General features: G+C 39.7%; 2 protein-coding genes and 1 pseudogene across 15 annotated transcripts in view, besides 3 other annotated features; 1 reads left to right on the top strand and 2 right to left on the bottom strand.

Annotated features, from left to right (window-relative positions):
* PIP5K1B (phosphatidylinositol-4-phosphate 5-kinase type 1 beta) overlaps positions 1–23,326 on the bottom strand; it is a 303,937-nt gene that overhangs the window by 212,952 nt on the left and 67,659 nt on the right. For 3 of the 14 annotated variants that reach the window (XM_017015189.2, XM_047423952.1, XM_011519084.4), the window contains one exon: positions 9,999–10,142. The exons of the other annotated variants lie outside the window; for them this stretch is intronic. The gene's annotated coding sequence lies outside the window, so the exon portion shown is untranslated. The remainder of the gene's footprint in view (positions 1–9,998; positions 10,143–23,326) is intronic. 14 annotated transcript variants of the gene reach the window in all.
* Positions 6,381–7,660, top strand: LOC100421655 (adaptor related protein complex 3 subunit mu 2 pseudogene; annotated as a pseudogene).
* Positions 10,659–16,160, bottom strand: PABIR1 (PP2A Aalpha (PPP2R1A) and B55A (PPP2R2A) interacting phosphatase regulator 1). Its single transcript, NM_138333.5, has one exon. The coding sequence runs from the start codon at positions 16,058–16,060 to the stop codon at positions 15,197–15,199; it is 864 nt and encodes a 287-aa protein (NP_612206.5). The 5' UTR covers positions 16,061–16,160; the 3' UTR covers positions 10,659–15,196.
* Positions 15,424–16,252: an enhancer, noted in NCBI's record as "H3K27ac hESC enhancer chr9:71394889-71395717 (GRCh37/hg19 assembly coordinates)". NCBI's record gives its function as "activates a minimal SCP1, AML or CMV promoter by ChIP-STARR-seq in primed H9 embryonic stem cells {active_cell/tissue: H9 hESC(primed)}" and the evidence as "EXISTENCE:reporter gene assay evidence [ECO:0000049][PMID:30033119]".
* Positions 15,900–16,139: a silencer, noted in NCBI's record as "silent region_19930". NCBI's record gives its function as "represses an Ori minimal core promoter by ATAC-STARR-seq in GM12878 lymphoblastoid cells {active_cell/tissue: GM12878}" and the evidence as "EXISTENCE:reporter gene assay evidence [ECO:0000049][PMID:35858748]".
* Positions 16,257–16,671: a silencer, noted in NCBI's record as "fragment chr9:71394470-71394884 (GRCh37/hg19 assembly coordinates)". NCBI's record gives its function as "represses an EF-1alpha promoter that drives an FKBP-Casp9 reporter gene in an ReSE screen in phorbol 12-myristate 13-acetate-treated (for megakaryocytic differentiation) K562 erythroleukemia cells {active_cell/tissue: K562(+PMA)}" and the evidence as "EXISTENCE:reporter gene assay evidence [ECO:0000049][PMID:32094911]".

The raw sequence follows: 23,326 nt of genomic DNA, 5'->3' as shown, positions 1-23,326 counted from the left end.
ATCAAAAAAATGCAGAAGCATATTTAAAACATTCACTGTATATTACATGGGGAATAAAAGCTGTTTATGGAGCTGAATATACAGCAGGATGCTATCACCGTATGAAATCACATATACATATTTAGACATAGAAAAAGCCTGGAACAATATACATGAAGTGCAAACAATGGCATCTCAGTGAAGTGTACTACTTTTGCTTATCAGAACTTTCTACAATTTCTAAAATGAACCTGCATCGCTTCTCTCATTAGAAGGTGTAATTTGCCTGTTTCAGTATATTTTGTTATTCTAATCTTTTTTTCACATGATTAAAATACATATCTTATGAAAGTTTGCTCAAAAGTAAATGTCATTTAACTTCTCATCCTAATTATAGAACAAGGTTGATTGACTGTGTTAAAATTAAAGCAGATTTCTGAATTCTCTATGAAAATATGAATGAAATAGGAGAAACCCAGAAATTTTCATGAATGTTAGGAAAACTAAAAGGAAAGCTCACTGACTTCCTATATACCATCAAAATTGCAACACCATTTCCCTAGAAAGAGTTTTAGTCTGGAAGATTTCCTAAAGTCTAAAACATTTGCTAATGTGCAAATATTTTAAGACACATATCACAGATTTCTGTGAGCAACCATTCCACATATTTTCCAAGCGTTATCTATCACCATTAATAAACATTCACTAAGTTCTTTCTCAGTCAACTGGTATTAGGAAAGACAGATAAACTATTGTCCCTTTCCTTCAGGAAATTTGCCCTAAAGATAGGGGATTATTCCATATATTACATATATTCTTCGGGTTTCCATTTATTCAAGTTACCAGTTTTCTGAATAAATAACTTTACAATTTTATAGAGAATTCCTTTCTAATCCTTACTACTTTTTGTGATAAGAACCACTCCCATTTAACAGATGAAAAGACTAAGACACACAAAGATTAAGCAATTTGCCTAAAATCAGAAAGCTTGGAAGTCACAAGGTTAGGTGTGGAATGTAGTTCTACCAGCCTGTAGAGACACAGATGTTTTAACCATTAAAACACACACACACACACGCTCTCTCTCTCTCTCTCACACACACACAAAGTAAGGAGTACAGGCAGAAGGTAGTACACTGATTCAGAGGAAAACCAATACTACCTAGAGCCGGAAGGATCAGAGGACATTCCATGGAGTGCACGGCACTTAACTGACGTCTTGAAAGACAGAAATGCATTATCAGGAGAGATAAGCAGTTCCAGGAGAAGGCATTTTTCCCTGCTGGTTACAAATATGGCTTGGATGTCCCTCAGTCCTCTTTTGTAAAGGATCCAGACAGACTTCCCAACCCACAAGAAGGAACCTGACAATATTCTATGATTAGAAGGAAATCTTAGCAATTCAAAGTGAGGAAAATATTGTTTGTTTCCTATCATTACTGGTCCTCTCCTCTCCCACTATTCAGCAACAATTTTGCAAAGGAATAGGGAAAAATCTGCTCCTGAATAAAATCTAAGAAGACAATGAACTATTTTTTTTTTTTTTTTTAATTTACAGCACTCACTGAAGAGAAAAATGTCTCTGGGTTAGGAAACTGGGCCAAAGTTACAGAAATAATTGTGTCATGGGTGTGGAACTATATTTCAATTTATAAGTGGAAAAAAGTCATCAGGAGAAATAGATGACAAGGGAATAAGATGAACCAGACAAACCCATGAAGGAAGTAAGTCAGTAAAGCCCTTAGCTTGAACAGTTTACTCATGTTTGGAGTAAAAACATTTACTTATAAAATTGTTCCCTCTCACAATAATGCCAAAGAAAGAAAAGAAAGAAAGAAAGAAAGAAAGAAAGAAAAGAAACTGTCATTTATCCTTGATTGTTCCCCCAAGCTATAATCACATACGTGTAAAGGAGTATTTCTTGTGAAACACTTAATACCAATTTACCAATAAAAGGGGAGGAAGATGACCTTTCGCTTCAGTTCCTTTTTCACCTCAAGAATCTAGAAGAACCCACATCCTTCTTCAGCTATCTGGCTGTCTCCAATTGTGCTCACTGTATTCTATCTTAACTCCACTCAAGTCAGGCTCCAACTGCACCACTCCACCGCAATGACTCTCACACAGGTGACTTGTAACCTCTATGTCACTAAATGCAGCACTCAGTGATTAGACTTCATCTCACTTGTCAGATCAGCTGCAACTGACACACCATCACTCCATCTTCTCTCATGTCTTCTTCACATGGTTTCTAAAGCGCCGTGCTCTCTTGGTTTTCCTACCTCTCTGATTGCTCTAGCTTGGTTTCCTTTTCCTGATCTTTCAATGTTATAGAATGCTTCAAGGTTCAGTTCTTAGTCTTTTCTTTAATGACACTTTCCCCTTAGTGATCCCATCTACTCTCCTGACTTCACTATCCACAGGCAGATGACTCACAATTGTGTATTTCAGTCCAGCCCTCTTTCCTGAACTTGACTCAGGTATCTAACTGCTTACTTGATGCCTCCACTTGAATGTCTAATAAAGATTGCTTAACGTATGCAAAACTCAGCAGCTAATGCCACTCACCTCCACAGCCATAGCCCCTCCCCCCACCAAAAAATATCCTACTCCACCCATAGATTTCCATATTTCAGCTGATGGCAACTCCAATCCTTCCCGTTGTTTAGGCCTCAAACCTTTCAGTTATGCTTAACTTCTCTCTTATGCCCACCTTAAATCTACCAGCAAAATCTGTTGGTTCTATCTTCAAAATATACCTATAATTTAGCCACTTCTTCCACCTCCACCGCTACCACCCTCATCCAAGCTATCATCATCTCTTACCTGGATTGCTGGATAGCCTCCTAATTGGTCCCCCTGCCTCTACCACGCCCTCAGAGTCTATTCTCAACACAGCAGGAGTGTTCCTATTAAAATCTAAGACAGATCATGTCACTCCTGTGCTCAAAGCTCTGTGATGGCTCTCATCTCACTCATAAAGCCAGTGTCCTTCATACAAGATACTATGCCACCTATGTTTGCAATAATCCTCACTATTGCCCACCTCTCTAACCCCCCTCTAACTATTTTTCCCTTCAACAACTCTGCTTCAGCCATGCTGAGCTCCTGTTCCTTACACTATATGTGTATACACATACACTATATGTGTATACACATACACACATACACACTTTATATGTGTAAATTTACATAGTAATTTACTTATTTTTTATGTTTGTTACTGCCCCTCCTTCTACCCTGTTAGAATGTATGCAAAATGTGGGTTCTACAGGGCAGGAGTCTTTGTTTTGTACACCAAAGTATCCTAAGAGACTAGCCCAGTGTGAGGCACATAATCAGTGCTTTAATCAACATCGCTTAATGAATGAATTTCTAGTCTCAGCAAACTATAAAGGGCTCAGCCATGTGACTGAACTTGTTCCACTAAGAATCTTACTACATTCCTTTTTCTTAAAAAACATGTGGGCCAGGCGCAGTGGCTCACGCCTGTAATCCCAGCACTTTGGGAGGCCGAGGCGGGCGGATCACGAGGTCAGGAGATCGAGACCATCCTGGCTAATGCAGCGAAACCCTGTCTCTACTAAAAATACAAAACAATTAGCCAGGCATGGTGGCGGGTGCCTGTAGTCCCACCTACTCGGGAGGCTGAAGCAGGAGAATGGCTGAACCTGGAAGGCGGAGCTTGCAGTGAACCGAGATCGCGCCACTGCACTCCAACCTGGGCGACAGAGCGAGACTCTGTCTCAAAAACAAACAAACAAACAAACAAACAAACAACAACAAAAAAACACATGTGCCACAGTAAATGCTGAATAAATGCTTGTTGAATGAATTTCTAAATGGCACTGTGTTGTAAATGGAATAAAATCTCACCGCAAATATCATGAACTCAATAAAACAAAACAAAACAGAAACTGTGTACCATTTGTTCATCCATTTATCCATCTATTAATTCATCTACTCAACATAAATTTGCGTAACTATAATGTGCTCTGCATTATGTCCCTGTATTAGGGACATAAATAAAAGGCTTAGTCCCTATTTTTGCATGGGGCAAAGAGAAAAGAAACCATACAAATACAATTCAGACTATTAATTGCCTTTATAGAGGGAAGCCCTGGGAACAACAGGATCACAGAAGAAAGCACCTAACTGACCGTGGTTGTAGAGGCAGGGGCCATCAGGAAAGATGTGCCCCTTGAACTAAATTTTTAAGGAGTTAGTTAAGGAAAAACAGTTGGCAGGGGTTGTGGAGGAAGGAGGAAGAAGATGCCATTTTAAGCAGAGGACACAGCTTGTCTGAAAGCACAGCCAGTAAGCATATACAGAAAACACTGAACTGCAGGCAGCTCAGTTAGCTAGAGTACTGGAATCCAGGGGATATGTTGAAGTGGAGAGGTCTTTTACTCATACTGCATAGTTTGATTTAAACTTGAACTTCTGTGGTAGCCATTACAGTTGCATTCTCAAGTTTGTATTTTAGAAATAACTGAAAGCAAGTAGTATGGTAAACGGGGCCTTGAGAAAGACTATATAGAAAAGGTATGAAATTTAAATTCAGAGTTAGAAATGCAATATAAATTGGTAAAGAGCATCAGGAATTTTAATTCTTGACTCAAAGTAACCTGACAATTATAATTATATTATTTACCTTTTTTCCCCAAGAGGACTCAAAAGAAGAGAGCATCAAGGGAAAGAGACTCAAAGAAATTCTTAAACACATCCTGATTCAAATCCAAAACCTAAATGAAGTGAAACAAACAATGAAGAAAACCATCCTCAATGCCATTCTTTACTCAACAGGGAGTTCACAATAATAGTCCAAGAGAACATTTACAGTGCCAAAAGAAATACCCAATCCATCCATCATCCCCTCACTCCCACTCCCTCCCAAATATCTCATATTTTCCTTCCCAAAAGATACCAATACTCAACAGCTACTTGTCACTCCCAAGTTCTGATAATCCTCTTGGCATCTCGACATTAAAACCTTTCTTTGTCCTTAAAGCAAGGGAGATGGATTGCCGAATCCCAGGAGCGATTACCTCAAACAACCATTTTACTCTGCTGGGGCACAAAATATCTTTCTCAATTGTATTCTTTCACAACACGCCTTGCTAGCCAAGCCTTAAGAGGTTAGTTTGGTTTGGGGGACCACTGTAGGCAACTGGAAAAAAACCAGAATTATACCTGGCATTGATACAGAACCGAACTTCTGCGGGTAAACAAAAGCAATAGGTTCTCTGTTCTCTACTTTCAGTCATGTTGCCTTAAAATTTGTAAATGAGTATTTTTTACATCTCCCCGAGTATTTATTCTAGAAATTCAAAAAGGAGAAACAGAAATCAGGCACAAAGAGGTCCTAGGTACAAGTACCAAATACTTACTTCTCTCTTAGGGCAGCACTTGAAATCTGAACCGCTGATGCAAAATCAAAGCACAGCACACTTTCTATCTATATAGTACCTACATAGGTATATGCATAGTTCAGTATCATTTACAAAGCCCAAGTTTCTGTTTAAGAAAATGAAGGGAAAAATAGAAGAAAATCTAAAGTGGCAGGAAAGCTAAATATGGCTCCAGGAACGCAGAAAAAGGTCCACAAGGGTGAGTGAGTGGGTGCGTGTGTGTATGTGTGTGTGTGTGCGCGCTCATGTGCGTTTGGGTGTACATACACAAGACCCAATTATTTGACATTATCTGCTTAACCTTATTCTGTTATAAAATTATTTTCACAAACAAGCTACATATAGAACTAAAAGTCAGTGTTGAAGTGATTTCTAAATATTTACTGAACTTCTAAAAATAAGACTAACCCTTTGGAACCAACTGTGGTTTTTGATGGTTTGTTCCAAAATGTCTAATGTAGGGACATGATAGTATGAAACTGGAAGTCTAATCACCAATTCTGGAATGTTTTCAAAGGGAGGTTTTCCTTTTTCGGATCCTCTTACTCACCAGTGAATTGATTTTTCTATGAAGAAAAGTTTTTAAAAAGTAAAGTTTCTCAAGGATTGCTCAATTCCTCTGAATTTAAATCTCTACCTCTGGGGAGAGCCTCTCACAGGGAAAGAAGAGGTAAGCATGATCCTTCTTTGAATCTTGGTGTTACATTTTTCCTTTAAAAAAATGCCACAGTTTTAACTTAGAGTTTTTTAGGGGAAAGGAGGGGAGGGAAGGGTCAAACTGGTTGTCTTTGTTTCCCTAGGAATGACAATCTAGGAACAACCAAAGATACTGTATAAATTAAACATAGCTCTGTTTATATATATGTATATATTTAAAGAAAACAAAAAAATCCAAAATTTGTGGGATTGGTAATTTCAAATTTCAAATATAAAGTCAGTTAAAAAATATGTAAAGCAGAGCAGGGTGGGACCTGTTCATAAGGTGGAGCAAGCATCAGGTGCTCCGAGGAGTGAGGCCGGGTATTCAAGGGAGGGATACTTCAGGCTCGTGCAGTAGAGGAAGACTGAGCCTGGTCTTGAAAGATGGGGTTGAAAATCTGCAGAGTCCTGAGGCTTTCAGACTGAAAAAGGCTTTCCTTTCTCACCTGACAATCACAGTCTATCATGATTTATAGACTTTTCTTGATCAACTCCTCTGGAGATATTTTCCTGGAGAAACACTGGAGAAGTGTGGTACACTGTTCTGTTTGTGAATACTTTTTTGAGGTGCAAGAACAAGCTACTGAGGCAGAAAGTGTGCCTCCAGTTATCCCTACCCCTCACCACTGTCTCTTAAGTGTTTACCACCACAAGATCTTTTTTTGTGGCTGTGATCCAGATGGAGGTCTCCCCTCTATTTGTCAGAGTTTCTTCACTGAGTAGTGGACACATTTCAGGACTATGTTGGAGTCTGTTCAGAATTAGTGATGAAGGACAATGTGATTGTGATTTATGCGGCATCAGAAGAGACGCTTGGCAATGGGTTTCCAAGCTGACTCGTTGGCTACCGAGTCAAATATCCTCAAAGAAAAGATAAAGCCTCCCACTATCCTTCGAACAGTTGTCAACACCATCACAGGAAGCACCAATGTGGGTGACCAACTTCCCACTGGATAACTGTCAATGGTGCCTTGGCGAGGTACTGGGGTGAAATACACCAACAATGAGGCCTATTTTGATGTGATTGAAGAGATTGATGCCATTATTGATAAATCAGGTTCTACAATTGCTGCTGAAACCCAGGGGATGATTGATGCTGTATCAAGCTGATTGGAATGCCAGACCTTACACTTCCCTTCATGAACCCCAGGTGGTTGGATGATATCAGCTTCCATCCTTGTGTTTAAGTGCTGGAAATCTGAGCATATCCTTTCTTTCATCCCTCTTGATGGAAATTTCCGCCTGCTCTCTTATCCTGTCAGTGCAAAGAAACTGGTTGCAATCCCAGTGTATGTCAAATATAATATCAGTTTCTGAGACAGTAGTTCACTTGTATGCTTTGGAATAATGGTGGGACCCAAGCAGGCAATGGGGAAGACCACAGAGGGAGTGATAGTCACCAGCCAGATGCCCAAAGGGGTCCTAAACGTGAGCCTGACTCCACGACAAAGGATGTACACGTTCAGCCCAGTCACAGAGATGCTATTTTGGGATGTGGGAAAAACAAATCCCCACAAGCTACCAAGTTTAAGGAAGACCATGGGTCTTCACATTGGAGATTCCAAACCAGAACCATTGTTCTGTGGAACCACTATTTCCTTCTATACTCTTTAATTTTTTACCTATTACTAAAAAACAAAACAAAACAAAACAAAACAAAAACCTTCCTGATATCTTCCTCTAATATGATAAAATTAACTTGTAGTTAAGATGCAGCAGCTGGCTATTTCTGGACTTAGGGTCATCTGGATATGTATGGAGAAAAGTACAAACCCTTTAAGGGCATAAAATACATGACCAAAGCTAGAAAGTTCCAAGTTTGAACCTGAAGGGAGAGTCTGCAGAGGGAAAAGTCATGAACACTTTTTCATTTCTTATCTAAAAGTAAAAAGTATCGGCCTGTCTCCTAGGACAGTCCCCTCCTGGGCCCACACATTCCTTTTTCCCCTTAGCCTGCAGTGCTGTGGAACTAATCAAGGGAGGAAAGGGTCACCAGGGAGAACTGGACAGAACTGAAACACAGCAAAACCAGTTCTCAAGGACAAGGTGTGTGATGGGGGTAGAGATGCTTGATGCTTGTGTAACTATTTTTAACATGGTTTCTACTGAAAAAGACCAACATTTGTTGCTTGCTTGGCTTTAATTATCTAAAGCTGACGAAAGACTTCTTTGTTGATTTTTCAAGGTAGAAAGATTAGAAAGAGGCTGGGTATGGTGGCTCAAGCCTGTAATCCCAGCACTTTGGGAGGCTGAGGTGGGTGGATCACCAGAGGTCAGGAGATTGAGACCAGCCTGGCCAACATGGTGAAACCCCGTCTCTACTAAAAATACAAAAACTAGTCAGGCATGGTGGCACATGCCTGTAGTCCCTACTACTCAGGAGGCTGAAGCAGGAGTATCACTTGAACCCGGGAGGCGGAGGTTGCAGGGAGCCAAGATTGCACCCCTGCACTCCAGCCTGCGTGACAGAGCGAGACTCTGTCTCTGAAAAAAAAAGAAAGAAAGATTAGAAAGAAAAATTGGAAGAAAAATGAATGTTAGGTCAAGGAAAGGTCTGTTAAGGATCTGATCTATGCAGGAGAAGGAGGAGGAAACAGAATTAAAGAAGAGTTACGAGACATCTTTAAATGAAAGATTGGCAAGAAAAGTAAATAAATTCTGTATTAAGGAGGGATGGGAAGAAGAGTTGGTTTCTTTCTGGTCCTTCTGCTCATATATAAAAAACACTTGTACTTCTACAAAAGGACTGGAGACTTCTTAAATTCGAGTCCACTATTGACATGAAAACCCTAGTAGAATCATATTTTCCCTCGAAGACTGTGATGATATCAGACTAGTTTTCAGACACTGCCTGTTGCTGGCCTTTAGCACTTGGGTCTCATCGTCAGTGAGAAGGTGGCCTGCCTTCTTTCCATGGTGGCTGCCTAAAATGCTTCCTTCCCTAACCCAACTCAATTCTACTCACTTCCCTTTACAGAATTCACCAGCCTTTTTCCTATTACCTGATCCTTCCACAGGATTTTCTAAAAAGTAGGAGAGTTTCAATCCCATAACCGCAAAAGTAGGAGAGAAGCCAATCCCATAACCGCAGTGCAGCCAGAGGTTGCGTGTCATGGTATTGGAGAGGGCCGACTCATTTTCCATGAAGGTAGACATGGCTGTGAGTGATCTCACATCTGCATTTGTCCATGCGGGGGTGGTACTGAATCCCAACCTTCCGGTTGGAAACTCTTCCATCAATCGCCTTAAGAGAATGGTTACCGTGGAGGGTATGGTTGCTCCGTGAAGCTGCTTGGTAAGTGGTCATTTCCTCATAGACTTTTGTTTTGTACTCTACTCTACCATGTATTTACAACAGTTAGCTACCAGTCCCTTTTCGTTCTAAAACAAAAAATTTCCCCTAAATCTTTGAATAAAATTAATGCTATAGGGAAAAAATACATAAAGCTGTGGAACCATGATTTCCTTCTATACACTTTAATTTCTTGCCTATTACTAAAAAAAAAACTTCCTGGTATGTTCCTTTAATATAATACTGTTTTAAGGAATGATTACCTATCATTTGATTCAAAACAGAAGTAGCAGCACTAGTAAAATAAAGCAAGTTGCTAAAGTTAGCTGGGAAATGGTCTTCAAGTTAATAATAAAAAAAAGTTTATAATAATAATAATAAAAAAACCAAAAGGGCCTAAATTCAAAAGGAAAAAAAATAGACAGTAATAGGGACTTGAGAAAATGGCCTTGGTTTTCTCATCTCTTCAATGGGAATCCATAGCACCTGCCTCACAGGGTTGTCATGAGGATTTTAAACACTCATAAATGTAAAGCACTAAAAATAGTGTCTGGACCCATAGTGAATGCTCAAGAAATATTAACACATCATTATTATTATTACTGGCAAAAACTCACGTTATCAGGCCATTTATCACTTCCTACCCAGGAAGGCAAATGGTCATAAGGGAATCACAATCTGGTGAAAATCTTGGCTGCCACGCAATGATAGCCTTATTTCACAGACAGCATACTGAAGACACAGCTCAAGATTTCTAAAATCTGGAAGGAAGAAGTAGTCATTAGAGAAGGATCAGTATTTCTGATTTCTAGAAGGGGGCTATCACCTATAAAAAGAAGAATAAGGCTTGTTTTGCATTTGCCAAAGGTGGACTTGAATTGAATGGTGGAAGTTAGAGGGAAATGTCTGTTCACTATAAGAAAGGCTAACATCAGAAACAATCGCTTCATAAAAGGATAGCCTGCTTTGAAGGATATTGTACTGTTAACTGAGTGTGAAAGCAGGAGTTTCATCCATCAAGGATGCTAATTGCCCAGCATCTTTGTAAGCACATTGTGTACGAACCCATTCAATCCTCACCACAGCCACCCTGCTCCACTGTCTATATTCCTAACCACCACAATTCGCTGCCTACCTCCCAGCTCTGGAATCCTGGGCAAGTAACTCAACCTGTGTCTCCATTTCCTCATTTATAAAATGAGGATAATGATAGCACTTGCCTCAGATGATAGTGATAGATTAAATGCATTGATATATTTGCTTAGCACTTAGAACAGTCCCTGACACATAGCAAGTATTTTATTACTTTTTATACAAAGGTCATTTCAACTTTTAAGAAAATTTTTTTACTTGGATGGCAAGTTACAGAAGCCACAAAGAACTCTGTCTTGGCTACAGTGAGCAATCTGACACAATTTTTTACCAAGTAAGTGGCACTCAAGGCTTGCCTTCAGCCCTGATTCTCTAACAGCCATGAAAAATGTGGGCAAAACTGCTGGAGTGAGAGACCTACATTGAGACCAGATTCTCTATACTTTGTCATGGCTGATAAGGTAAAGCCCTGAAAAAAGTGGTCTAGTCCATAAGCCTCTGCTCCCTTCTCTTATCCTCAATGCCTCAGCCAATCATTCAAACTACACTTTCAGCAGAACCCTTAACTACTTCACACACTGGGCTTTACCTAGTACCCACTTAACCAATTCCCAAACCTAGTCAATCCAACCCACTTCCTTGTGCCTGCCATCCAACTGCAACCTGGCATCCATCATAGCCTAATAAGCCTTCTACTTGTCCTTAACTTACTCCTTTAGATTCTCAGAGGCAACATTAAACCTTTACTGCACTCAAGCTTCCAAATGATCTCCTGTCCCTATCCTCATGTATCTTAGATTCCTCAATAATTGGAAAATAGGCACAATCAGAAACAAATTCTACTTTTCATATACCTACCTCCATACTCCTAAACCCCTGCAACAACAAATCAATTCAACATTTATGGATATCTTTGCCTAGCCTTTTCACTCTCCCTCCTGTTTCAGAAGAAAAATAAGTTTCCAGACCTCCTTTCCAAGGCCAACTCTTTCTTCTGTTCTCTGGTGCTACTCAAGAAATGATCATCATCTTCTTGGTTCAATTGTCTGGCAACCATTCCCCTGACTCCCACCTCTGTTAGATCTTCAAAATTGTTCTACTAATCTATAAACACACCCTGAAAAAAAATGTTCTCAGACTCACTTTCCTCATTTAAGTCTTGATTCCTTCCCCAATTTTATTGCCAAATAAACTGGTCTCTTGCTACAGGTATGTAACTGGTTGAACTAATAAATGTGAATCACTGGAAGGCAATCTGATACAAGTTATTCTTGATTACAATCAATCTTTTAAGTATGCTTAAGGGTCCTAACATCCAGCAGCCTTGGAGTTAATGATCTTTAATGATTTCTCCCATTTATACTGTGTTTTTAACAAGCATAATAAAGGAAAATATACCAGAGGTTTATTAAGTATGACAAACTGTACTTTAAATAAATGTTGCTATTGACTTTAGGACTTCTTGCACAAAGTTTATAGATTAGCAATACTAATACCTTAAAAATGCTTTTTGAAGGATAATTCTTACACGAGCTAAGTAAGCCCTTACAGTCTACAGAATAATGATGGACGTTATGAACAATACTATGATAACGTAAATTGTCCACATGCCCTTAGAACCTTATCTGATTTAAAAACTTCCCATCTATATAGAAGAATAAGCTTACAGAAATAATGTTTCCATACCTTCGGGGAAAAGGATCTAAAATAGGAGAGAACATGATGTATTTAAGGAAAAGAAAGGCAAGCCAGTGAGGGCGAAGCACAGAAAACGAGGGGGGAGGAGGGAAGGACCAAATTCCTCAGGGCCTCCTAGCCCAGAATTAATACATTTTGGCATACTCATGAGAACAGGAAGCAAATGAAAAGCGTTCAGCTGGGAGATGGAAGGATCAGGTCCGCAATTTTAAAAGAATGACTCTAGTTGCTGTATGGAGAATGAATGGATAGCCGACCAGAGTGAGTGTGAGGAGCACAAGTGGGAGTTAGGAAGTTGCTTCAGAAGCCTAAGAGGGAAATGCTGGTAGCCTGGATCAGAGTGGCAATAGAGGTAGAAATAAGGAGATAGATTCTAGCTGATAAAAATCAGTAAGACTTGAGGAATGATTAGATATGGGGAAAAGTAAAGAAGAGAGGTGTCAATGACATGTTGGTTTCCTGCATTTATATACATATATACATGGAAATGCCAGTAACACATCTTGTACAATAGATATCAAGTTGTTAACAGAAGTTATCTGTGGAAAGGGAAGATGAATTTTACATAATTAAAAGCAGACTTTTAAAACCACACAGATATGTACAATGTTTAAATATTTTACAATCAGCAGGTATACATTGCCTTCATACTTAAACTCACGTGCAATTTGCCTCCCTGAAAAGGATAGGAATTATCCCAAAGAACAGACACAAGAAAAGTACATGACATATTTAAAGAATATCAAGTGGTCTAATGTTTGCAGAATAAGAAGGAAAGATGTATACTGGAACAGAGATGAGGAGAGGATTGAAGCTATTTCAGAATATGGCCAGATCATAAAGGTCCTTCTATCTGAGGCTAAAGAAATCATTCCTTAAAGAGTAGGAAATGGGGAAGCAAGTGAAGTTTTCAAGCAAGAGGGCGAAAAATATCAAGTTTAAATTTCAGAAAGATTACTCAAGAGGCAGTATAAAGACTGAACCAAAAGGAGACAGAAGACAGGCTGGGAGATCACTCAGGCAAGAACTTAAGGCAAAATCAGGGGCAACAGATAGAGAAGGGAAGAAATTTGAGATTCATTTCAGAAGTTGACAGGACTTGGTGATTAAGCTAATCCAACAGAGAAAAGGAAAAGTCAAAGATGCTTCCATAGTTTCTAGTTTAGGAAATCAGTGATGACATCAATTGAGCTAATGCAAGAACAGGTGAAGTGAGAAGATTAACAATTCCTGTGTTGAAGATAATGAAGTTCAAATACCTCTGGAGGCAGGGCAAGTTACCCAACAAGAAGTCAGGCTATTTAAGTTTGAATTTCAACAACAGGGTCGAGAATGGGAGCACATGAACACTATTACTCAGAAGAGAGAATTTTAAACCTGTGGACACAGTCTTACCCTCGATGCAATTTCACTCCATCTTGAGGCAACTGTCAAGAGTTGACCAGTTCCATTTACTCTCATAGTTGTAAAAATTCCACAAAATTGTTAAAGTCTCTGTAAGCGATAACTTTAAACAGTCAGAGCTTTTGTCTTGTTCTGAGTCATTTTTCCCCTTTCCTCTTTGTATGCCATTCTTTCTGTCAAACTATCTAGTTAAGGAAGATATGTGAGGTATAAGGATGCATAATATAAAAAAATTTTTGCTATTCTTATTAAACATTTTGTCTTAATTGTAAAGGTAAAGAAAAGAACATTCGACTATTCTAACTTTAGGAAAACCTAAGTTAAATAATGATTTACCTATGTGACTCTCCACTAATTTTCTCTTGCAAATCATCACCCCTTAATTAACTGACATCCCCAAGGCAGTCAACTCAAGCTGTAGCTTTAACCACAGAGGTTAAACAATTCACAGTCCTGTTGTTGCTGTCAGAAACCCAAGTTACACTGTACCTTTGTCTAATCAATGGTGCCCTAGTTTGGTGGGAGATGGAGAGGAAGGGACCTGTTGGCAAGGAAACAGCTGCTTCCTTCCTGAACAAGGGAAAACCAGTAAGGTGACAGATGGGCAGAGCAGAAAAGTAGCCAAAAATTGCTGTGGCTCCTGTTTGGCAATAATTTCTGGAACTGAGGCACAACTGAATATTTTAAAGTATATCAACAATTGAGAGAGTATTGTTTACCTGAGTGCGCCAAAGTTCAACAAGCCTTCCCACACGTTTCCCACATTTGAAAAACTTTTAAGTTTGCAGTAGTACAAAGAGCTTAGCCTTAGCCTATGTATAGTGGGCAAAGACTGCAAGGCACTGTCCCATTTCACTTTAGGATTACACCCAAGCAAATGCACTTTCCGGTTAAAAAAAAAAAGGAAAAAATTTTATTTTCTCTATAGTAGTTATAGTTGTATGACTGACTAGAATTACTATTAAAATCTCATTAAAAATGTTTTTCTTAAAAGTTTACTTTTATATACTTAATTTGAAAAGATTTGTTCAAACTTTTATAATTTGTTCTTTAATCATTCCCCCTCCCATCCACTTCAGTACCCAGAAAACTAAATATCCAAGAATTCCTGGGTAAAACAGACAACCACTAGATAGATATAACTAACGTATTTTTTTAAGCTGTATAGTTCTTCATCAAATGGAAATCGGCAACCACTGAAAATAACATTAAAAATTAGTGTGGGCATGAAGTATGGAATTTTAAACATCAGTTTACTATGCTGATTAAGTCAACATTTATATTTTCATCAGAACTTAATAATCCCATAAATAAATAGAGCTCTCAGTTATTTAAAAAAATCAAGGGATAACATATGTATTTAGACATATTAGCAGCGTAAAGATGTATGCTTCAACACACTTATTGGGGAAACGTCTGAAAATATTACTACACTGAATTCAAGGGTATCCAAAGGAACCTGACATAGAAGTTCTCTAGAATAACATCATTTCAGGGAATTTCAAAAAAGAAAAGGGGTCAAATAGGAAATAGCCTCAAATTAATTGACAAAGTTCAGTGTTTGCCCCAACTAGATTATTCTCTCTCTCCACTGCAAAAAGAAAGTCTCAGGATGAGTGAATCACTTAGACGAAAGTTCATCTAGTGGAATAAATGGAGAAGCCGCTTGGGCAGGTGACACAGGAGAGTCGGTGGTAGTGCTGACTTTCGCTGGTGAGTTACAAGAAGATCCGGCACTGCTGCTGTTTCCATCAAGGGTATCCGAAGATACACACACACCAGGATCTGACAGCTGTGCAACGTCAGAAGAAAGCATGTTGGTGATGCCCTGGAAAAATCTCTTTGGCTGATATTCAGTTTCCATTTCACATTTTCTTTTCAATGGTCCAAGAACACTTGGTCTAATGCAATTGATGGGGCTCTGGCTTCTCCGGGTGGTAAATCGGGTCGTTGGGCTGGGAATAGGGCTTGGAGGCAATCCGTTGCTACTTACAAAACTTTGCAAGGATGGCGAAAAACACTGCTTCCCAATTCCCCGAGTGGGTGACGGTGCTGGTGACACAGGAATGAAATCGATGCGCTTGGGGGAGGCGGATTTCTCCACGTCGTTGTCACTCAGGCTGAAACTTTCCTCCCAGGAGTGGCTTATCTGCATTGCGGTCTGCACCTCCCGTTCGTGGACCGTCTCTCGGTTGATCAAGTCCATGCCCTCTTCTTGTTTGATCTGGTGCAAGCGGCTGCTGTGCATGCGGACAGGGGAGGCCGGCAGCAGCAGGCCGTGGCGGCTCGGGAACGTTGTGCTGTTCCGCCTGGCGCTCGGCGCCTCGGCCTGGAACACCGGCGAAGTGTCACTGAGGCCGTGGATCAGGGGGGCGCTGTTAGACCTCCTGAGGCCCCCGCCGCCGCCGCTGCCACCGCCCTCCGCCGGGCTCCCGCCCGTACCCGGAGGCAGCTCCAGGTCTAGCTCCATCTTCTCCTGAGCCATGTCGGGGGCAGGGAGGCGGGGGAGGTGCTCAGTCAGGGACCTAGGATTCCCATTCCCCGCAGTCCAGGGCCGCCGCCGCTGCCGCCGCCACCGAGAATCTGTCAGCGGGCTGGCCCCTCTGCGCATGCGTAGCCCTTCGCGCAGGCGCTCGCGATGTCCGTACTCGCGGCGCCTGCTTAATGCGTAATATGTGCGCGGCAGTGGTAGGGGAGGGGCGAGGAGTGGTCGGGCCGCTAGTCCGTATATTCCTTCGGCAAATAGCTATTGAGCGCAAGCTCGCGTTGACGCATGTCAATAAGATTGTCATATTCTGGATTGCATACTCATAAAACAAAGCCCTGAAAGAGAGGCCCATGGTGATGTGGGGCTGTATGACGTGGAGTGGCGCTTGGCCTAATCAGGGAGGGCTTCCTCGAGGAAGGAACAATCTCCTGAAATCTGAAGAAGTGGGCGAAATGGGTGCGATGTAGAACTTTGCAGGAAGCGGGAAGCAACGGCTACCCAGCCAGTTGGCAGGCGGGAACCAGGAGGGGAGGAGAAAGTGTGGCCTGGAGTGGAGAGTGAGGGCTGGCCTGACGTGAGGTGGTGGACCAGACCACATTCTGGTCTTTATCTTGAGAACAATGAAAACTTAAAGGGTTTTCAAGCATGGGTGTAACAGCAACTGAAAAGCTCACTGGCCTGCAGTCTGGAGAATACATATTGGGAGATTAAAACCTTACAGAAAAAAGGCCAGAGAGGATGGTCATTTGCACTAAGGTGACAGTGTGGCAGTGGAGATGGAGAGAAAAGTAAATCTGAGAACTATTTAGGTTAGGGGAAGAAGCCAAAACAGAGGATGGTATTGCTATTGATTTACAGTCATAGTTCCAGCACAAGCATATGTGTGAAGTATGAAGGATTAAACCAGTAGGTCCTCACATTTTAAAAATGAAACCACAATTCTTGGCTCATGTAATTAATATAAAACCTTGATATCTCATTAAAAGTGAGTTTATTTGTTCATTTATTCAGTCAGTCAAGGTTTTTTTTTTTCAGCATACTTACTATGTGCCAAACACTGCTAGGAAATGGGCCCTAGTATGAACTTTTAATTCTTACTGAGGGGAAAATAGAGAAACGCAGGCTATTTTCAGATAGTGGTAAGCCTTAGGAAAAGTAAGATGGTGTGATGGAGCACTACTGATAGAAGTCAGGGGACAATTAGAGTTGAGATCTAAATGACAAGAAGCAGTAAGTCACGTGGACATCTGGGGAATGAGTATTCCAAGCAGAGAGAATAGCAAGTGCTAAGGCCGGAGGCAGCCATGAGTTTGATGAGTTAGCAGAAAAAGAAAAAAGGGCAGTGCCGCTGAAGCATAAGAGCGGGAGTGTTAGGAGAGGGTAAGAGTTGGATCTCATTCTGAATATGATGAAACGCCACTGGAGGGTTTTAAGCAGGGGACTGATATTATCTGGTTTATGTTTTAAATATCACTTAGGCTCTGTGGAAAACAGGCTGAAAGAAGACCAGAGTGGAGGCAGAAGGATGAATTCAGGACCTATGGCAACAGTACAGATAAGATTCTTGGACTAGGGTTGTAGCAGTGTCAATGGGGAGAAGCAGAGAGACTGAGGATATGTGTTGAGTTAGAACAAATAGGATTTGCAGATGGATTAAATTTAGATTGTGAAAGAAATAGATTATTCGAAGGGGACTCATAGCTTTTTTTATTTAAACTGGTGAGATGGTAGTATTATTTACTGAGAGAGGAAAATAGCACATTTAGAGTTGTAGAAATTAAGAGATCTGAAGCAGAAGAACACAAGGTGGAAAGAACCAACATTTTCTAAGTGCCTACTCCCTGCTAGGCACTTTAAACACTCCATAATCCCACTTAATCCTCACTGCATAGATATTGTTATACTCATTTTACGAAGGAACGATTGAGGTTCAAAAATTGCAAAAGGCACTACAGCCAGTACACGGAAGAACAAAGATCTGAACCAATTTGAATCAAGGACTCATTTCAAAAACCTGTATTGTTTTTTCTGAATTTCACATGGATTAAAGAGAGAATTTCGCATGAATTAGAGAAGGATGGCTAATTCTGAGACGAAACAAAGGTCTAAAACCAAAGTTGGGAAAGGCAGAAGGAGATGGATTTGGGAGACAAGGCAACAACAGAACCTAATAGCATGCTGTGCAGAGGATGAACAGGAGACACAAATGACTGAAGTTCAACTGTAAGTGGCTGAAAGAATGCTACAAATTATTCAATAAAAACAGGAGAGAGGAGGAAATGTCTACAAAAAAATTAATATTAGGTAAGTAGAAAAGAACATTAAATATAGAACTCAATTTATAATACCCACAGCATATTACTGTTAACTTCATATTACTACATTATTATCAATGTGGCTCAAATGTACCAGATATTGTTCGTCCATGTCTGGATAAACATAATAATTACCTTTACTAATAAAACACAAGGATGGTGATGAGCCCACAAAATAAAACATATATGCTATTTGGTTCTTGCCTGAACACACCTATTAGAGATCTTAGCTGGTTTCCCAGTTTCTACCCTTGTCCTTGTAGAGCTGGGGACAGAGAATTGACTGAGTCATGTATGATTCAGTGCTTTCAGGTCCTGGCACAAATATTAATACTGATGGAGAGGCTTTCATAACTGTTCCTTATAAAAAGCAATTGCAGTTCTCAACACCAAGTCTACATTTGCATGCCCCTTACTCTGTTTTTATTGTCCTCCGGAGTACCACATGACATATATGTATACATTTTCTTGCCTGTTTCTTTGCTGAGAAAGTAAGCTCTACAAGGGAAAGACCTTTGTTTTGTTCTCTGTTATATGCTTAATATCTAGAACAGGGCCTGGCACATTGTACTGAGTAAGTACTTGTTGAATCATTGTGTGAATGCATGATAATGAATGAAAGGATGGATTAATATAGCTTTGTCTAAAAGGGAAGAGAACTCTATTATTTGAAAATCCAGTCTAACAGGCTTTTCTACACTGATTCTAAGAGCTCTATACCTTGATATATTTTTTAAAGATCAGGAATATTATTATTATTTAGAGTGCCCTCCAGCCCATGCAGGTGTGTTACTGGAACTACCCATTATGTGACCTAAGAAACTGAAGCCCTAGGTTTTCTTTCTTTTTCAACGATATGCTAATAAAAATTTGATAGAATTAAAATGTTCAGCACTGAGGATTCTAGGCAGTGTTTAATATATTGAGTTACTACTTCCTTTCGAAGGAATCAAGGACAAATGAGAGAAAATAGCAGCCATAAAATGCAATGTAGCCAGCTGCAAATGAATAATGCCAGAGGCAGGATCCAAGGAACCTCCCTGGCTCATTTCCCCCTTCCGGTTTCACTCCCATGAATTAAATACCACACTTAGTCAAGATTCATTCTCACTGTGAAGCCACAAAACCAGACATCTATTCCACAGTTAAACTTTATTGTGATTAATATTAGATTTTTAAAATATTACTTATATTTTAAAAAATATTACTTATTTTTAGGTTAAAAATAAATAGTTTAGGGCCAGGCGTGGTGGCTCACGCCTGTAATCCCAGCACTTTGGGAGGCTGAGGTGGAAGCATTGTTGAGTCCAGGAGTTCATGACCAGCCTGGGCAAGAGAGAGACCTCATCTTATAAAATTAAAATAAATAAATAGCTTAAAAATGACCATAACAATATCTAGAATTGGGACAGAGTCCCAATCTGATATCTAATTTATAAGATCTCAATGAGGAATAAGTGGAACTAGAATGTTTAAAGTGACTAGCAGGGAGTAGGCACTTAGAACAATATTATTATTAGATAGTTTTCTTTTAATTTCTGAGGGCAATTTTTCACTATTAAATTTCCAAATATATGACAAGGCAAATTTCTACCTCTGAATCCAAATTGAATGAATGTAAAATACAAAAATGTGTGTATGTATATAATCTAAGATGGGCTGGCAAATACCTCAATGTTCCACGTTAATTAGCATCAACAACCTACAGTAAAAATACTGCAGAAAAAACTGTGCTTTAAAACCATAGGAACTTAGGGTTAACTGTTACAACCACTTAGGAAAAATATTTTGCTGTACCTATTAAAAGAAAATATATTTATAGCCCACGACTAAGGAATCCTGCTCCTGACAATATAACCAAGAGAAATGAGGGCATCTGTCTACTAAAAGACATGCACAAGAATGTTTCTTGCATTATTATTATTATGTGTAATAGCTCCAGACTCAAACAACCATAAACAGTTTAATTATACAATGGAACTCTTTACCCAACAACATGGATGAGTTACAATATAATGTTGAATGAAAGAAATTAAGTACAAAAGAATACATACACTATGACTTCAGTGTTATGAAGTCCCCAAACAGCCAAAACCAACTTAGAAGTCAAAATAAGTAGTCCCCTCCTACCCACAGTTTTGGTTAACCTGTGGCCAACGTTGGTCCAAAAATATTAAATGGAAAATTCCAGAAATAAACAATTCATGAGTTTTAAATTACATGCTGCTGTGAGTGAGTGCCATGATGAAATCTGGTGCCGTCGCACTCCATCTGACCTGGGACATGAATCATCCCTACAACCAGTGCATCCATGCTGTCTATGCTCCCTGCCCATTAGTCACTTAGTAGCCATCTCAGTTACCAGATTGACTGCTGTAGCAGTGCTTATGTTTGAGTAACTCTTATTTTACTTAATAATGGCCCCAAACACAACAGTAGTGATGCTGACAATTGTAATATGCCAAATAGAAGCTGTAAAGTGCTTCCTCTAAGTGAAAAGGTGAAAAAAAATATGCTGAGATTGCTAAGATCTGTGGTAAGAACAAATCCTCTATCCATGAAGTTGTGAAGAAGGAAAAAGAAATATGTGCTAGTTTTGCTGTTGCACCTCAAATTGCAGAAGTTACGGTGACAGTGTGTGATAAGTGCTTAGTGAAGATGGAAAGGGCATTAAATTTGTGGGTGGAAGACATGAACAGAAAGCATTCCAATTGATGGCAATGTGTTGCATCAGAAAGCAGTAAGCCTATATGAAGATTTCAGCAAGGGATCCCCTGAAATGAGTGACACCAAGCCACTTACTGCAAATAAGTGATGGTTACACCGACTTGGTAATAGGTTTGGATTCACAAATATAAAATTTACTAGAGAGGTTTTGTCTGCCAATGAAGAAGCTGCTGCCACATTTCTAGCAGAGTTGAAGAAGTTGATCAAGGAAAAAAGATACTATCTGAGTGAGACTTCAGTTGCAATGAAACTGGCCTCTTCTGGAAGATGTCCAGTAGAATCTACATTGATGAAAGTACAAAAGAGGCACCAGACATAAAACATGGAAGGATGAATTAGCTGTAGTACTATGTAGCAGTACACATACAGGATTTGGTTTCTGCAGTTTCAGGCATCCACTGGGGGTCTTGGAATGTTTCCCCTTGGATGAGGGGGACTATTATAGTGGTTACCCTTAGGACTGACTGAGAGGGGCTACAAGAAAATGTTCTATATCCTGATATGTGTGCTAGTTTACATGGGTGTACACATATGGAAAACATTATCAAACTATTTGAAATGTATACACGTTTCTATATAAAGTTAGATCTTAAAATGTTGTTGATATGGACAAAAACAGCATGGAATGTAAATGGAGAAGGACAGAATAGGATAAGAATGTATGTACTTCAATTGGAAGGAAGATATCTTATTCAAACACTAACCAGAAATCTAAACTGGAATGCTGAGCTTCCAAATCTCTCTGACACACAACAGTATCAGTGGAAGAGAACTAGCTTGACAGTAGAGAGAAAAGAGAAACACACACACCCCTAAAGTTGCATTTCATTGGGGCCCTAAACACCAGTAGACTCCAGCAACCTCACATAAACTCTGAAGACTTGTCCGAAGCCAGTTACAGATCACCAAGAATAGAACCATCAGCTTTTCTTGACCCTGTTCCCACAGTACCCTTAAAGTTAGTTACTTCTAAGAAAGCAATAGGAGGAAATGAAGCCCATTTTATTGCCTTTTATTTTCTCAACTGCAAGCTTTGTGTATTTTGTTCAAGCAAAGTCGGCTCTGTTGCCTTCTCAGTGGTATCCTCCTAGAATAATTCATGAAATGGAACAGAATTAAAGTAGCATCATAGGAACTCAGCGTGGGCTGTTAGAACATATGTGAAGAATAAGAATTGCATTTAAGGACACAATTCTGGCCACCAAGAACTTACTTGGTTATTCTGATGAAAGAAAATAATAGATTATCTCAGAAACTTACCAACCATTCAATTTGCAAATAATCATTGAGGGCCCGTTAAGTACAGACACCCTCTATGTTATCTACCTTAAAATTGCTTAATCTAATCCTTAAAACTTCAGAGCAACAGCAAAGATTAGAAAATCAAGGTAGAAGTGTACAAAGCGGCTACTGAGCCCTCTCAACTTTGATAAAGTGAAAAGGCATCACACCATTGCACGGAGACATATCCTTCTTATGGAGACAGTGAACAGATAGAAAGGGGCCTCAAAGACTTGATGGAAGAATCTTACAGGCTAGGCCCTCAGCACAATTCAAGTAAACAAGTAATTGTGGATTGTAGTTACTTTGTTTAGTTTTTTCCATGGGGGACTATAAAGGAAGATATTAAATTAAAATAGCCATCTAACCCCCAGTCTCTAATCCCTTAAGTCTTTTGAATAGAATAGAAAACAGGAGTGATATCTCTCCTTGTTCCTCAGTGGAACCTCAGAGGAACCTCCTTGGTGCCTTCTCTTTGACATTAAAACCCTCCTAGGCCATAATCGAAGAATACAATCGATAGCCCTTTCTTTGGTGAAATGCTTCTGTCTGTCTGTCTACTATCCTTCCCTTGAAGGATTAATCCATTTGCCAAGGGGGTGGAGGAACTGATGGCTTTATGGATAATGTATAAAGTTAACTTTAAAACATGCAAAGGCTGCAAATCTAGTTGGATTTATATACTTGGATCTTTCAGCTGGGTGGGTGTTTGGGAATCTTAAGAGCTCAGTGTATTAGTGCACAGCAAGACATAGCAAAGAAAGAACCAAACTTGGAGTCAGATTATCATACTTCCAGCAGTGGGACTTTGGGCAAGTCTGTCAACCTCTCTAGACTTCACTTTTGTCACTTATGAAGTGGGGATGCAGCCTTTTTGTTGTAAAGATAAAATAATATGGTGTCCATAAAAGGCCTTGCAAACAGTAAAGGGCCTATAACA

This window comes from Homo sapiens, chromosome 9 (assembly GCF_000001405.40).
Source record: "Homo sapiens chromosome 9, GRCh38.p14 Primary Assembly".
In the NCBI taxonomy this organism is placed as follows: Eukaryota; Metazoa; Chordata; class Mammalia; order Primates; family Hominidae; genus Homo; species Homo sapiens.
The sequence above is the reverse complement of the archived record's forward strand: the minus strand, read 5'-3'. Positions and strand labels throughout refer to the sequence as shown.